General features: G+C 38.2%; 1 protein-coding gene across 5 annotated transcripts in view, besides 1 other annotated feature; it reads left to right on the top strand.

Moving 5' to 3' along the window:
* Positions 1–12,258, top strand: part of GOLIM4 (golgi integral membrane protein 4) — an 87,236-nt gene extending 74,978 nt beyond the window's left edge. For all 5 annotated transcript variants that reach the window (NM_001308155.2, XM_005247365.4, NM_014498.5 and 2 more), the window contains 2 exons: positions 10,124–10,204; positions 10,529–12,258. In NM_001308155.2, coding sequence (NP_001295084.1) covers positions 10,124–10,204; positions 10,529–10,678 — 231 coding nt within the window. In that variant the 3' untranslated portion in view covers positions 10,679–12,258. The remainder of the gene's footprint in view (positions 1–10,123; positions 10,205–10,528) is intronic.
* Positions 9,188–9,699: an enhancer, noted in NCBI's record as "NANOG-H3K27ac-H3K4me1 hESC enhancer chr3:167729036-167729547 (GRCh37/hg19 assembly coordinates)". NCBI's record gives its function as "activates a minimal SCP1, AML or CMV promoter by ChIP-STARR-seq in naive and primed H9 embryonic stem cells {active_cell/tissue: H9 hESC(naive and primed)}" and the evidence as "EXISTENCE:reporter gene assay evidence [ECO:0000049][PMID:30033119]".
* Positions 12,259–13,113: the final 855 nt, after the last annotated feature.

Raw genomic sequence — 13,113 nt, 5'->3', positions numbered from 1 at the left:
TATGTCTACATTATAAAAGAATATCATTTGGCTTCTGCTTATTATTCTAGTCATATTTTAAAGATCAGTTAGAACCTCCATATCATTTTGTTCCTTTACATTACTGAGAAGCATTACTTAAAGGCATTACTGCCTTTCAGATGAGTTTGCATTGCTTTTGCCCCAAATATCAGTAATATATTACTAGAATAATAATGTGTATTTAACTAAGAGTTTGTTCTCTATATGTGTGGAAAATTACAAAATTTTCATTTGTGGGTTCCCTAAAGAGTCGTTGAAATCAGTGGTCTCTAAATAAGATTATATTGACAACTGGTAAACAAGCTAAATTTTCTATAGCCCATCTCCAGAGACTAATGAGATAACCTAGCATCCATTACTCAAGGAAATAGTTCTTTGTCTTTGCTGTGAATAAGGATCACCTTGAAGAGTTTGTGGCATACACAGATTTCTGGACCAGACCCTTACCCTTGAGATTTTGATCTTATCTGTTATGGAACCTAGGAAGCAGAGTTCTTCATAAGTGCCCCTTCACCCGCCCACCACCAGCTGATTCTGACGGCTCAGGATCATACTGTTTAGAGAAATAGTCCTAGGGCAGACAGTTGTGGATGGCATCTGGGAAGTCTGAAACTCCTATCTGTGTATATATGCCCATTTGCTAAAGACTTTCTAACCAAAGTCTTAAAAGGGTCCATGACTCCCCAACCACACATACATACAGGAAATTAAGGATCATTGATTTTTCACCCAATGCTATTATTTTACATACAAGAAATTTGGGCTTCAGAGGGATTAGTTAAAAATTGGAAGGTTGCATAGCTTTTATTTATTGTTAGAAACATGATTAGAGCTCACCTAGGTCTGATTTTAAAGGCTACCGTAATTAAGTGTACCATGCACAGTAACTATATAGTTGATGTGGGGAAGTTCTTTATAGAAATTAGTGAATATAGACAGAACAATGGAAATACAAAGTGACCATTTTTTTTTGTAACCCCTAATTGAAGCAATTGATCTAAGCAACAGTCATCAATGAATGATGTTACTAGATGAACAGAGGTCAGGGAACTTTACCATGAAGGGATCAGGCTGTCACCACCTGAGCTCACTGGCCAACCTTAGCCTTACTAAAAGTGGGACAAATAAATGTGTGTGCCTCCTGATGTGATTTAAAAAATATGTGTGAAATATACACCATCACCTCTGAAATACCCTTATTTTTAAAATCGAACCTGAGTTCATTCAAACTTTTATGCTAACTTCCATTTATAGGAAATGTTGAGACTAGAGAAATGAGTTAAGTGATATAAAGAAGCAAATAAATTCAGAATGTGGGTCATTTTACAGTACTGCAAATCCATAGCAGTAGGGAAAAAAGGGGAGTGAATCCCATGTTATGTGTTCTTTTCCTTTAAATCATGATTAGAATATACCAACTGTAAACAGGCATTAGGACAATGATAAAAATGTAAGTATGGATGAGACATCAGATGCTACTATGGAATTATTTTATCAGGTGTGATAATCACAGTATGATTATATAAGTTGTTTATTGTTTTTAGATATATATACTGTGATACGTGAAGGTAAAATTACATATCTTGAATTTTTAAGAATAATTCACTGTAAAAAATAGAAAAGTGATAGATGATGCAGGTGTGGCAATATTGAAATAGCTTTTGAACATTGGAGGTGGCTCTAAGGGGTTTATTGAATGATTTTCTTCGTTTGCATGTGCTTAAAGATTTTCATAACAAAAACAATTGACCTTATGATTTATACAGTCAGAAAAGTTGCAGAGCCAAGTCTTTAGTCCAGGTCTTTCTGACTCCATAGTATATGTTAGGAGTTGGCAAACTACAGGCTGCAGCCTGGTTCATAAGTAAAGTTTTATTGGAACACAAACATGTCTGCTTGTTTACGTATTGTCTATAGTTTTTTGTTTTCTTTTTTTTTTTTTGTGCTACATAGAGTGGTCAAGTTGTATTGTGAGAGACCTTATGGCTAAGAAAGCCTAAGTATTTGCTATCTGGCCCTTCACACAAAAAGTTTGCTGATCTCTGATTTAGATATTCTTCCTGCCATACGGCATAGACTCAAGGCTGTTTTTTCCCCCAGTCTCAACTACAACATTTTAATGTTTATAAATAATATATTTTCATTATTAAGGCTGTAAAAGACATGTCTTTGTTAATCAAAATTGACAGGGACACTTCAGCAATTTAATGACGTTTCAATTAGTCAGACCTTAAGATAGGCCTGAAGTAAGTACTTCATTGTTTTCATCCCAATGTCCTGTGGAATGTCACTATGAGGTTCTACGACTATGGGCAGAGGAGATGTTATGGACCACTGATAGAACCATAAGGTGAGACAAGATAGGTCTTTAGCTCATTCCACCAGGAAATATGAATACAATAGATATTCGATGCCTTTGTCCTCAAAATGTATTTATTTTGAGGTTAGTTTAGAGGCTGTGGGTCAAACTGGCGTTGGACTGGTTAGAAGAGGTTCACAATGGTTTGGCTCTGCCCAGGGTATCTTTGAAGAGTCACCTTTGTAGGCTCTCGACAGGCCAAGTTTTGTCCAAAGCTCTTCTGTGAGGCTGCAGTTCATTCTTGTCTCACCTGGGCTGTACACCTTCAGGCAGCACGTAATTTGTTTCTTCTGAATTATAGCATCTGTATACTTTTCTTCCGTTGTTCATTTCTTAGATTTTTCCACAGTCTCCTCCACTCCCCCCACCAAAATAAGTGATTTTTGTGTTATTCAAGGATCTTATTCTCTGATCCTAGAAAAGATCGGACTTTCTTTGGTATTAGGAGACTGCATTATACTTAACCGATGTTCAGCAGTTTTTTTGAAATGCATTCAAGTGACTTAAACATTTTGGCATATGTATGGTTTTCAAAATAGTTAACAAGTTAGAAAATGCCCTACCCTGTATTTCTGTGAGATATGATCATTAAATAGAGACTATTTAGCACAAATATTTGGATGCTTGCTTTAGTTTACATTTTGAGATAAATATTGGGATCATTTACACAGTAATAATAGTGCACATGAATGAAAACTACTTAAAACAGAAAGGTTGTATTAGAACACTAAAGAGAGAGAGGAATTTTTGAGGCAGTTCAATAGACTATTTCATAAAGAAATTGAAATGATTGTATTTTATTTTCTAGATATCTTAGCCAGAGAAATATATTCTTAAGTATAGAATAGATACATAAAATTTCTACTATATTGTATGTAGGCAGCGGTGTCTATCCTTTGTGCCTTTACAGAGGATTTACAGAGGCCACAGGTTGGACAAGCTTGATCTAGATAGTGACTTGAATAAGACAGGCAGTTCCTGCCTCCATAGAACTTACATTGTGTCACAGCTCTCAAATTTCTACAGTTCTCCCATATACAGAAATGGGAATTTTAATTTTATTATTTTATTTTTGGGGAGACAGGGTCTTGCTGAGTCATCGAGGCTGTTGTGCAGTGACACAAACATAGCTTACTGCAACTTTGACCTCCAGAGCTCAATCGATCCTCTGCCTCAGCCTCCCGAGTAGCTGAGACTACAGGCGTGCACCACTAGGCCCAGCTAATTTTATAAATTTTTCTTTTTTGTAGAGACAGGGTCTCACTTTGTTTCCCAGGACTCAAATTCCTGGGCTCAAGTGATCCTCTTGCCTCAGTCCCACAAAGTGCTGGGATTACAGGTGTGAGCCACCACGCCTGGCCAGAATTTTTGATTTTACAAGCTAAATGTCTTCAGATGTTTTATATTTGGAATTTTAACCATTATTCAGATAAACCAGAAATTCAAACAGAAAAGTCCTACATTCAGGATCAATCACATTGATTTTTGTAATAGGTGTATTATACATTTCTTTTTTTTATTATTATTATACTTTAAGTTTTAGGGTACATGTGCACATTGTGCAGGTTAGTTACATATGTATACATGTGCCATGCTGGTGCACTGCACCCACTAACTCGTCATCTAGCATTAGGTATATTTCCCAATGCTATCCCTCGCCCCTCCCTCCACCCCACCACAGTCCCCAGAGTGTAATATTCCCCTTCCTGTGTCCATGTGATCTCATTGTTCAATTCCCACCTATGAGTGAGAATATGCGGTGTTTGGTTTTTTGTTCTTGCGATAGTTTACTGAGAATGATGTTTTCCAATTTCATCCATGTCCCTACAAAGGACATGAACTCATACTTTTTTATGGCTGCATAGTATTCCATGGTGTATATGTGCCACATTTTCTTAATCCAGTCTATCATTGTTGGACATTTGGGTTGGTTCCAAGTCTTTGCTATTGTGAATAATGCCACAATAAACATACATGTGCATGTGTCTTTATAGCAGCATGATTTATAATCCTTTGGGTATATACCCAGTAAGGGGATGGCTGGGTCAAATGGTATTTCCAGTTCTAGATCCCTGAGGAATCGCCACACTGACTTCCACAATGGTTGAACTAGTTTACAGTCCCACCAACAGTGTAAAAGCGTTCCTATTTCTCCACATCCTCTCCAGCACCTGTTGTTTCCTGACTTTTTAATGATTGCCATTCTAACTGGTGTGAGATGGTATCTCATTGTGGTTTTGATTTGCATTTCTCTGATGGCCAGTGATGATGAGCATTTTTTCATGTGTTTTTTGTCTGCATAAATGTCTTCTTTTGAGAAGTGTCTGTTCATGTCCTTCGCCCACTTTTTGATGGGGTTGTTTGTTTTTTTCTTGTAAATTTGTTTGAGTTCATTGTAGATTCTGGATATTAGCCATTTGTCAGATGAGTAGGTTGTGAAAATTTTCTCCCATTTTGTAGGTTTCCTGTTCACTCTGATGGTAGTTTGTTTTGCTGTGCAGAAGCTCTTTAGTTTAATTAGATCCCATTTGTCAATTTTGTCTTTTGTTGCCATTGCTTTTGGTGTTTTAGACATGAAGTCCTTGCCCATGCCTATGTCCTGAATGGTAATGCCTAGGTTTTCTTCCAGGGTTTTTATGGTTTTAGGTCTAACGTTTAAGTCTTTAATCCATCTTGACTTGATTTTTGTATAAGGTGTAAGGAAGTGATCCAGTTTCAGCTTTCTACATATGGCTAGCCAGTTTTCCCAGCACCATTTATTAAATAGGGAATCCTTTCCCCATTGCTTGTTTTTCTCAGGTTTGTCAAAGATCAGATAGTTGTAGATATGCGACGTTATTTCTGAGGGCTCTGTTCTGTTCCATTGATCTATATCTCTCTTTTGGTACCAGTACCATGCTGTTTTGGTTACTGTAGCCTTGTAGTATAGTTTGAAGTCAGGTAGTGTGATGCCTCCGGCTTTGTTCTTTTGGCTTAGGATTGACTTGGCGATGCGGGCTCTTTTTTGGTTCCATATGAACTTTAAAGTAGTTTTTTCCAATTCTGTGAAGAAAGGCATTGGTAGCTTGATGGGGATGGCATTGAATCTATAAATTACCTTGGGCAGTATGGCCATTTTCATGATATTGATTCTTCCTACCCATGAGCATGGAATGTTCTTCCATTTGTTTGTATCCTCTTTTATTTTCTTGAGCAGTGGTTTGTAGTTCTCCTTGAAGAGGTCCTTCACATCCCTTGTAAGTTGGATTCCTGGGTATTTTATTCTCTTTGAAGCAATTGTGAATGGGAGTTCACTCATGATTTGGCTCTCTGTTTGTCTGTTGCTGGTGTGTAAGAATGCTTGTGATTTTTGTACATTGATTTTGTATCCTGAGACTTTGCTGAAGTTGCTTATCAGCTTAAGGAGATTTTGGGCTGAGACAGTGGGGTTTTCTAGATATACAATCATGTCGTCTGCAAACAGGGACAATTTGACTTCCTCTTTTCCTAATTGAATAGCCTTTATTTCCTTCTCCTGCCTAATTGCCCTGGCCAGAACTTCCAACACTATGTTGAATAGGAGTGGTGAGAGAGGGCATCCCTGTCTTGTGCCAGTTTTCAGAGGGAATGCTTCCAGTTTTTGCCCATTCAGTATGATATTGGCTGTGGGTTTGTCATAGATAGCTCTTATTATTTTGAAATACGTCCCATCAATACCTAATTTATTGAGAGTTTTTAGTATGAAGGGTTGTTGAATTTTGTCAAAGGCTTTTTCTGCATCTATTGAGATAATCATGTGGTTTTTGTCTTTGGCTCTGTTTATATGCTGGATTACATTTATTGATTTGCGTATATTGAACCAGCCTTGCATCCCAGGGATGAAGCCCACTTGATCATGGTGGATAAGCTTTTTGATGTGCTGCTGTATTCGTTTTGCCAGTATTTTATTGAGGATTTTTGCATCAATGTTCATCAAGGATATTGGTCTAAAATTCTTTTTTTTTGTTGTGTCTCTGCCTGGCTTTGTATCAGAATGATGCTGGCCTCATAAAATGAGTTAGGGAGGATTCCCTCTTTTTCTATTGATTGGAATAGTTTCAGAAGGAATGGTACCAGTTCCTCCTTGTACCTCTGGTAGAATTCGGCTGTGAATCCATCTGGTCCTGGACTCTTTTTGGTTGGTAAGCTATTGATTATTGCCACAATTTCAGCTCCTGTTATTGGTCTATTCAGAGATTCAACTTCTTCCTGGTTTAGTCTTGGGAGAGTGTATGTGTCGAGGAATTTATCCATTTCTTCTAGATTTTCTAGTATATTTGTGTAGAGGTGTTTGTAGTATTCTCTGATGGTAGTTTGTATTTCTGTGGGATCGGTGGTGATATCCCCTTTATCATTTTTTATTGCATCTATTAGATTCTTCTCTCTTTTTTTCTTTATTAGTCTTGCTAGCGGTCTATCAATTTTGTTGATCCTTTCAAAAAACCAGCTCCTGGATTCATTAATTTTTTGAAGGGTTTTTTGTGTCTCTTTTTCCTTCAGTTCTGCTCTGATTTTAGTTATTTCTTGCCTTCTGCTAGCTTTTGAATGTGTTTGCTCTTGCTTTTCTAGTTCTTTTAATTGTGATGTTAGGGTGTCAATTTTGGATCTTTCCTGCTTTCTCTTGTGGGCATTCAGTGCTATAAATTTCCCTCTACACACTGCTTTGAATGCGTCCCAGAGATTCTGGTATGTTGTGTCTTTGTTCTCGTTGGTTTGAAAGAACATCTTTATTTCTGCCTTCATTTCGTTATGTACCCAGTAGTCATTCAGGAGCAGGTTGTTCAGTTTCCATGTAGTTGAGCGGTTTTGAGTGAGATTCTTAATCCTGAGTTCTAGTTTGATTGCACTGTGGTCTGAGAGAAGTTTGTTATAATTTCTGTTCTTTTACATTTGCTGAGGAGAGCTTTACTTCCCAGTATGTGGTCAATTTTGGAATAGGTGTGGTGTGGTGCTGAAAAAAATGTATATTCTGTTGATTTGGGGTGGAGAGTTCTGTAGATGTCTATTAGGTTCGCTTGGTGCAGAGCTGAGTTCAATTCCTGGGTATCCTTGTTGACTTTCTGTCTCGTTGATCTGTCTAATGTTGACAGTGGGGTGTTAAAGTCTCCCATTATTAATGCGTGGGAGTCTAAGTCTCTTTGTAGGTCACTCAGGATTTGCTTTATGAATCTTGGTGCTCCTGTATTGGGTGCATATATATTTAGGATAGTTAGCTCTTCTTGTTGAATTGATCCCTTGACCATTATGTAATGGCCTTCTTTGTCTCTTTTGATCTTTGTTGGTTTAAAGTCTGTTTTATCAGAGACTCGGATTGCAACCCCTGCCTTTTTTTGTTTTCCATTTGCTTGGTAGATCTTCCTCCATCCTTTTATTTTGAGCCTATGTGTGTCTCTGCACGTGAGATGGGTTTCCTGAATACAGCACACTGATGGGTCTTGACTCTTCATCCAATTTGCCAGTCTGTGTCTTTTAATTGGAGCATTTAGTCCATTTACATTTAAAGTTAATATTGTTATGTGTGAATTTCATCCTGTCATTATGATGTTAGCTGGTTATTTTGCTCGTTAGTTGATGCAGTTTCTTCCTAGTCTTGATGGTCTTTACAATTTGGCATGATTTTGCAGTGGCTGGTTCCGGTTGTTCCTTTCCATGTTTAGCGCTTCCTTTAGGAGCTCTTGTAGGGCAGGCCTGGTGGTGACAAAATCTCTCAGCATTTGCTTGTCTGTAAAGGATTTTATTTCTCCTTCGCTTATGAAGCTTAGTTTGGCTGGATATGAAATTCTGGGTTGAAAATTTTTGTCTTTAAGAATGTTGAATATTGGCCCCCACTCTCTTCTGGCTTGTAGAGTTTCTGCCGAGAGATCCGCTGTTAGTCTGATGGGCTTCCCTTTGAGGGTAACCCGACCTTTCTCTCTGGCTGCCCTTAACATTTTTTCCTTCATTTCAACTTTGGTGAATCTGACAATTATGTGTCTTGGAGTTGGTCTTCTCGAGGAGTATCTTTGTGGCGTTCTCTGTATTTCCTGAATCTGAACGTTGGCCTGCCTTGCTAGATTGGGGAAGTTCTCCTGGATAATATCCTGCAGAGTGTTTTCCAACTTGGTTCCATTCTCCCCATCACTTTCAGGTACACCATTCAGACGTAGATTTGGTCTTTTCACATAGTCCCATATTTGTTGGAGGCTTTGCTCATTTCTTTTTATTCTTTTTTCTCTAAACTTCTCTTCTCGCTTCATTTCATTCATTTCATCTTCCATCGCTGATACCCTTTCTTACAGTTGATTGCATCGGCTCCTGAGGCTTCTGCATTCTTCATGTAGTTCTCGAGCCTTGGTTTTCAGCTCCATCAGCTCCTTTAAGCACTTCTCTGTATTGGTTATTCTAGTTATACATTCTTCTAAATTTTTTTCAAAGTTTTCAACTTCTTTGCCTTTGGTTTGAATGTCCTCCCGTAGCTCAGAGTAATTTGATCGTCTGAAGCCTTCTCTCAGCTCGTCAATGTCATTCTCCATCCAGCTTTGTTCTGTTGCTGGTGAGGAACTGTGTTCCTTTGGAGGAGGAGAGGCGCTTTGCTTTTTAGTTTCCAATTTTTCTGTTCTGTTTTTTCCCCATCTTTGTGGTTTTATCTGCTTTTGGTCTTTGATGATGGTGATGTACAGATGGGTTTTTGGTGTGGATGTCCTTTCTGTTTGTTAGTTTTCCTTCTAACAGACAGGACCCTCAGCTGCAGGTCTGTTGGAATACCCTGCCTTGTGAGGTGTCAGTGTGCTCCTGCTGGGGGGTGCCTCCCAGTTAGGCTGCTCAGGGGTAAGGGGTCAGGGACCCACTTGAGGAGGCAGTCTGCCCGTTCTCAGATCTCCAGCTGCGTGCTGGGAGAACCACTGCTCTCTTCCAAGCTGTCAGACAGGGACATTTAAGTCTGCAGAGGTTACTGCTGTCTTTTTGTTTGTCTGTGCCCTGCCCCCAGAGGTGGAGCCTACAGAGGCAGGCAGGCCTCCTTGAGCTGTGGTGGGCTCCGCCCAGTTGGAGCTTCCCCACTGCTTTGTTTACCTAATCAAGCCTGGGCAATGGCGGGCGCCCCTCCCCCAGCCTTGCTGCCGCCTTGCAGTTTGATCTCAGACTGCTGTGCTGGCAATCAGCGAGATTCTGTGGGCGTAGGACCCTCCAAGCCAGGTGCGGGATATAATCTCGTGGTGCGCCGTTTTTTAATCCCGTCGGAAAAGCGCAGTATTTGGGTGGGAGTGACGCGATTTTCCAGGTGCCGTCCGTCACCCCTTTCTTTGACTCGGAAAGGGAACTCCCCGACCCTTTGAGCTTCCCAAGTGAGACAATGCCTCGCCCTGCTTTGGCTCGCGCATGGTGCGCGCACCCACTGACCTGCACCCACTGTCTGGCACTCCCTAGTGAGAGGAACCTGGTACCTCAGATGGAAATGCAGAAATCACTGTCTTCTGCGTCGCTCACACTGGGAGCTGTAGACCGGAGCTGTTCCTATTCGGCCATCTTGGCTCCTCCCTTATACATTTCTTCACACCTAGTAGATAAATCCTTGACATATTTTTTCAATTGTATATTTACTTTAATTTTGCTTCTGCTATTTTGAGTGAACTTTTTGGAAATCAAAATATATTATTGCAAGTCTTTAAATGATAACAGTGTCAAAATATATTATCGCAAGTGCTTGAAAGACAAAAGTGTTTAAATGATATCTGTGGTTTGTTTTAGGTTCAGGAAGATTTGACTGAAGAGAAAAAAAGGGAACTGGAGCATAATGCTGAAGAGACCTATGGTGAAAATGATGAAAATGTATGACCGGGATACATATTTCTATTGAGCACTTGAGTGTTTGTGGGTGTGCATGTGTATAGGAGAGATATATGTATTTGGGATACGTACCAGTGGGTAATGGTACCTCTGAGTTACCACTGAATTTAACAGGCCCACCTGAAATTAGGAAAAGTTGTGACAACATGAAAAGTAGGAGAGACAGCAGCACTGTTGCTTACATATCATTTTTCTTCCTTTTTTTTCCTCCAAAAATGAGTAATTTTTCATCCTGTTTTTAGAGAGAATTATTTATCACTAACTCTATACTATCTCTTAGTTTTTCTTTTTTCTTTTAATTTTAAGACTGATGATAAAAATAATGATGGAGAAGAGCAAGAAGTTCGAGATGACAACCGCCCCAAAGGCCGAGAGGAACACTACGAGGAGGAAGAAGAGGAGGAAGAAGACGGGGCTGCAGTTGCTGAGAAATCACATCGAAGAGCTGAAATGTAGCGGCACCCAATTTCTAGACAACGCTCAGCCAACGGATTCTTTTCAAGCTGCTCAAACATAAATCTGCCTACTGAACTCTAGGATATTTAATTACAAAAATTAAGAACTTAGACTTTTTTAAAACTTTTGTATTAGAAATGCGCATACATTTATATGAATATATTTTGATAACGTAGGTCTAGAGCTTCTTTTATATTCAAGCTAAACATGAAAAAGAAGAAAAACAATAAAGTAAACCTGAGCCCCCACGTCCCAATTTTTTTAATAGATTATGTGATGTTGGAAAGCTCATTGATTTTGTATATGTTTCAGCGTGTTACCTTTCTGGCTTCCAGTTCCCAGGTGTTCTTTGTTTGCCTTTGATAAAATACAGGATTTAAGAACAGAGAGTACTGCAAAATGCCATGCAGACTTTAAAGAGAATGGCCTGTTTACTAATTGCTGCCCTTCTGATGTCTTTATGTATAGCTCTGATAGAATTTTCACCAGTCTATGTATCTCTGGAGTGAGATCTATGTACAAAGTGACATACAATTGGAAATCCATTTTTGTTGTAAAGACATTGTTTTTCAGACTTTTCAGATCAATTAGAAAAATGTCATTGCTTTAAAATCATAGCTGTTCTGTTTAAGAGGAATTGAATTTAAAAATGAGAGAGTATTAAAACTCATGTGGCAGTATCCTGGTCTTAATCAGGTATTGCAGTGTTCAAACAAGGTATGGACACATCAACATATTCACCTTTTGGAAGGACTAGTGACTTGGTTAAAAACTAATGAGTGTTTGCGTGTGGTGTTTCTATGCGAGCACCCATTCTCAATTTTTTTTTTTTTTTTTTGTTTGAAGCCATTGATTGATATTCTTGTTTCAGTGTCTGGTTCCCTATAAGTAATATATATTTCCTCTTTAAGCTCTGTGCCTCAATATGCAATCACTTTGATAATAAGTATAAATATGAAGACATACCAAACTGCAAATAGGATTATTTTTCAAAACTATATGGTGAAACATATGGTGATATGATAGACTTATGGTTTTTCTGTTTGCTGGGATTGGGTCTGCTTTTTGCCTATGTGTAAGGCATTTTAATCATTGTGAATATAATAGATTCCTTAAAATAAGAAAATTAAAAATCAGAAACTTCCCTTGGAGTAGAGACATTTCAGTTGCAAGCATAAAGATTTTTAAATATATAACACTAGGTTATATAATTCATATATGTGTGGTTTTGTATTAATAATCAAATTAATAAAAACATTTCATTTTCTACCATTGTATGAACGTAATTTTATTTTTTAATAACCACACTCATAGATGGTTTTGATTGTTCCAGTTGAGTGATTGTGTATGTACGCATAGGAATGTTTTGTTCAGTTGTACTTTGTATTTCCAATAATCAGAAATCTTACCTTTATGTATAAAAACCCATTATGTAATGTAAAATGTATAATATTGTACATAATATTCAGAATACAATTATTTTGGTAAATTAGCTTGTATTTTTAATGTCCCAGTTGCAGTATTTAATTATTTGAACCATACTGAAAGTTGGTAATAGTCAATAAAGCTAAAAAAAAAAAGTGGCAAATCTTTTAAACTATGTGGTCTCTTATTAGTTTATGACCTTCTAACATTCTTCACTTCTTTTTCATAAAAAGAAAAATTTTAAGAGATACCAATATAAATTAATGAATTATAAAGTGCCTTTTCCCACCTGCTTCTGTTTTCTGTATCTTTCTCTACTTGGATTGGCATGTGATTTTCCCTTCTTTTTCTAAAGAAAGAGCTAAAGATGTTTATTTTATTTGAGCTAGCTCTGAGGGAAGAAAAAAGAAATGGGGCAGAATGTATGAGAGTGTCATGTGCATGCACACACAAAAAATAAATGAAAAACTTTAAATCCCCTTAGGAAAGCAACAATCACAAACCATTCTACTCTCTGTATAGCACCAAGTTACAGAGCCATTCTAACTAATGTGTAGAGGAGAACTAATCAGCCTGAGCTGATCTACGTTAATGAGGTGACAAGAAATAAAATGTCACCAGTATTTATTCTGCCAGTCTGTGACTTTGGTGCAACCAATAAATCAAAGGATTTGGTACCAAGAGTATAGTCGGGGTGGGGGGTGGGGGTTGTGGGAGGAAGGCACGTTTATTGGCAATGAGTATAACGGGGCACAACAAAACTAGTACACATGCAATGACTGGTTATTTGCAAGAGTGATTGGGAAGAGTTCTAGGAGTAAAAGCATAATCTTAGCCACATGTGCCAGTGACTTAATTTTACAAAGGAAAACTTGACGTGTATTGAATGCCCTCATAGTGTAAGAAGTATGTGAATAGGATCCACTTCAATCCCCACAGTATTCCTGTAAGGTTGATGGAATCCGCTTCTCACAACTGAAGAACCTTGTCTTCCAAAGCACTTAACATTT

The sequence above is a fragment of the Homo sapiens genome, chromosome 3 (assembly GCF_000001405.40).
Source record: "Homo sapiens chromosome 3, GRCh38.p14 Primary Assembly".
In the NCBI taxonomy this organism is placed as follows: Eukaryota; Metazoa; Chordata; class Mammalia; order Primates; family Hominidae; genus Homo; species Homo sapiens.
This window is presented reverse-complemented; position numbering and strand designations above follow the sequence as displayed.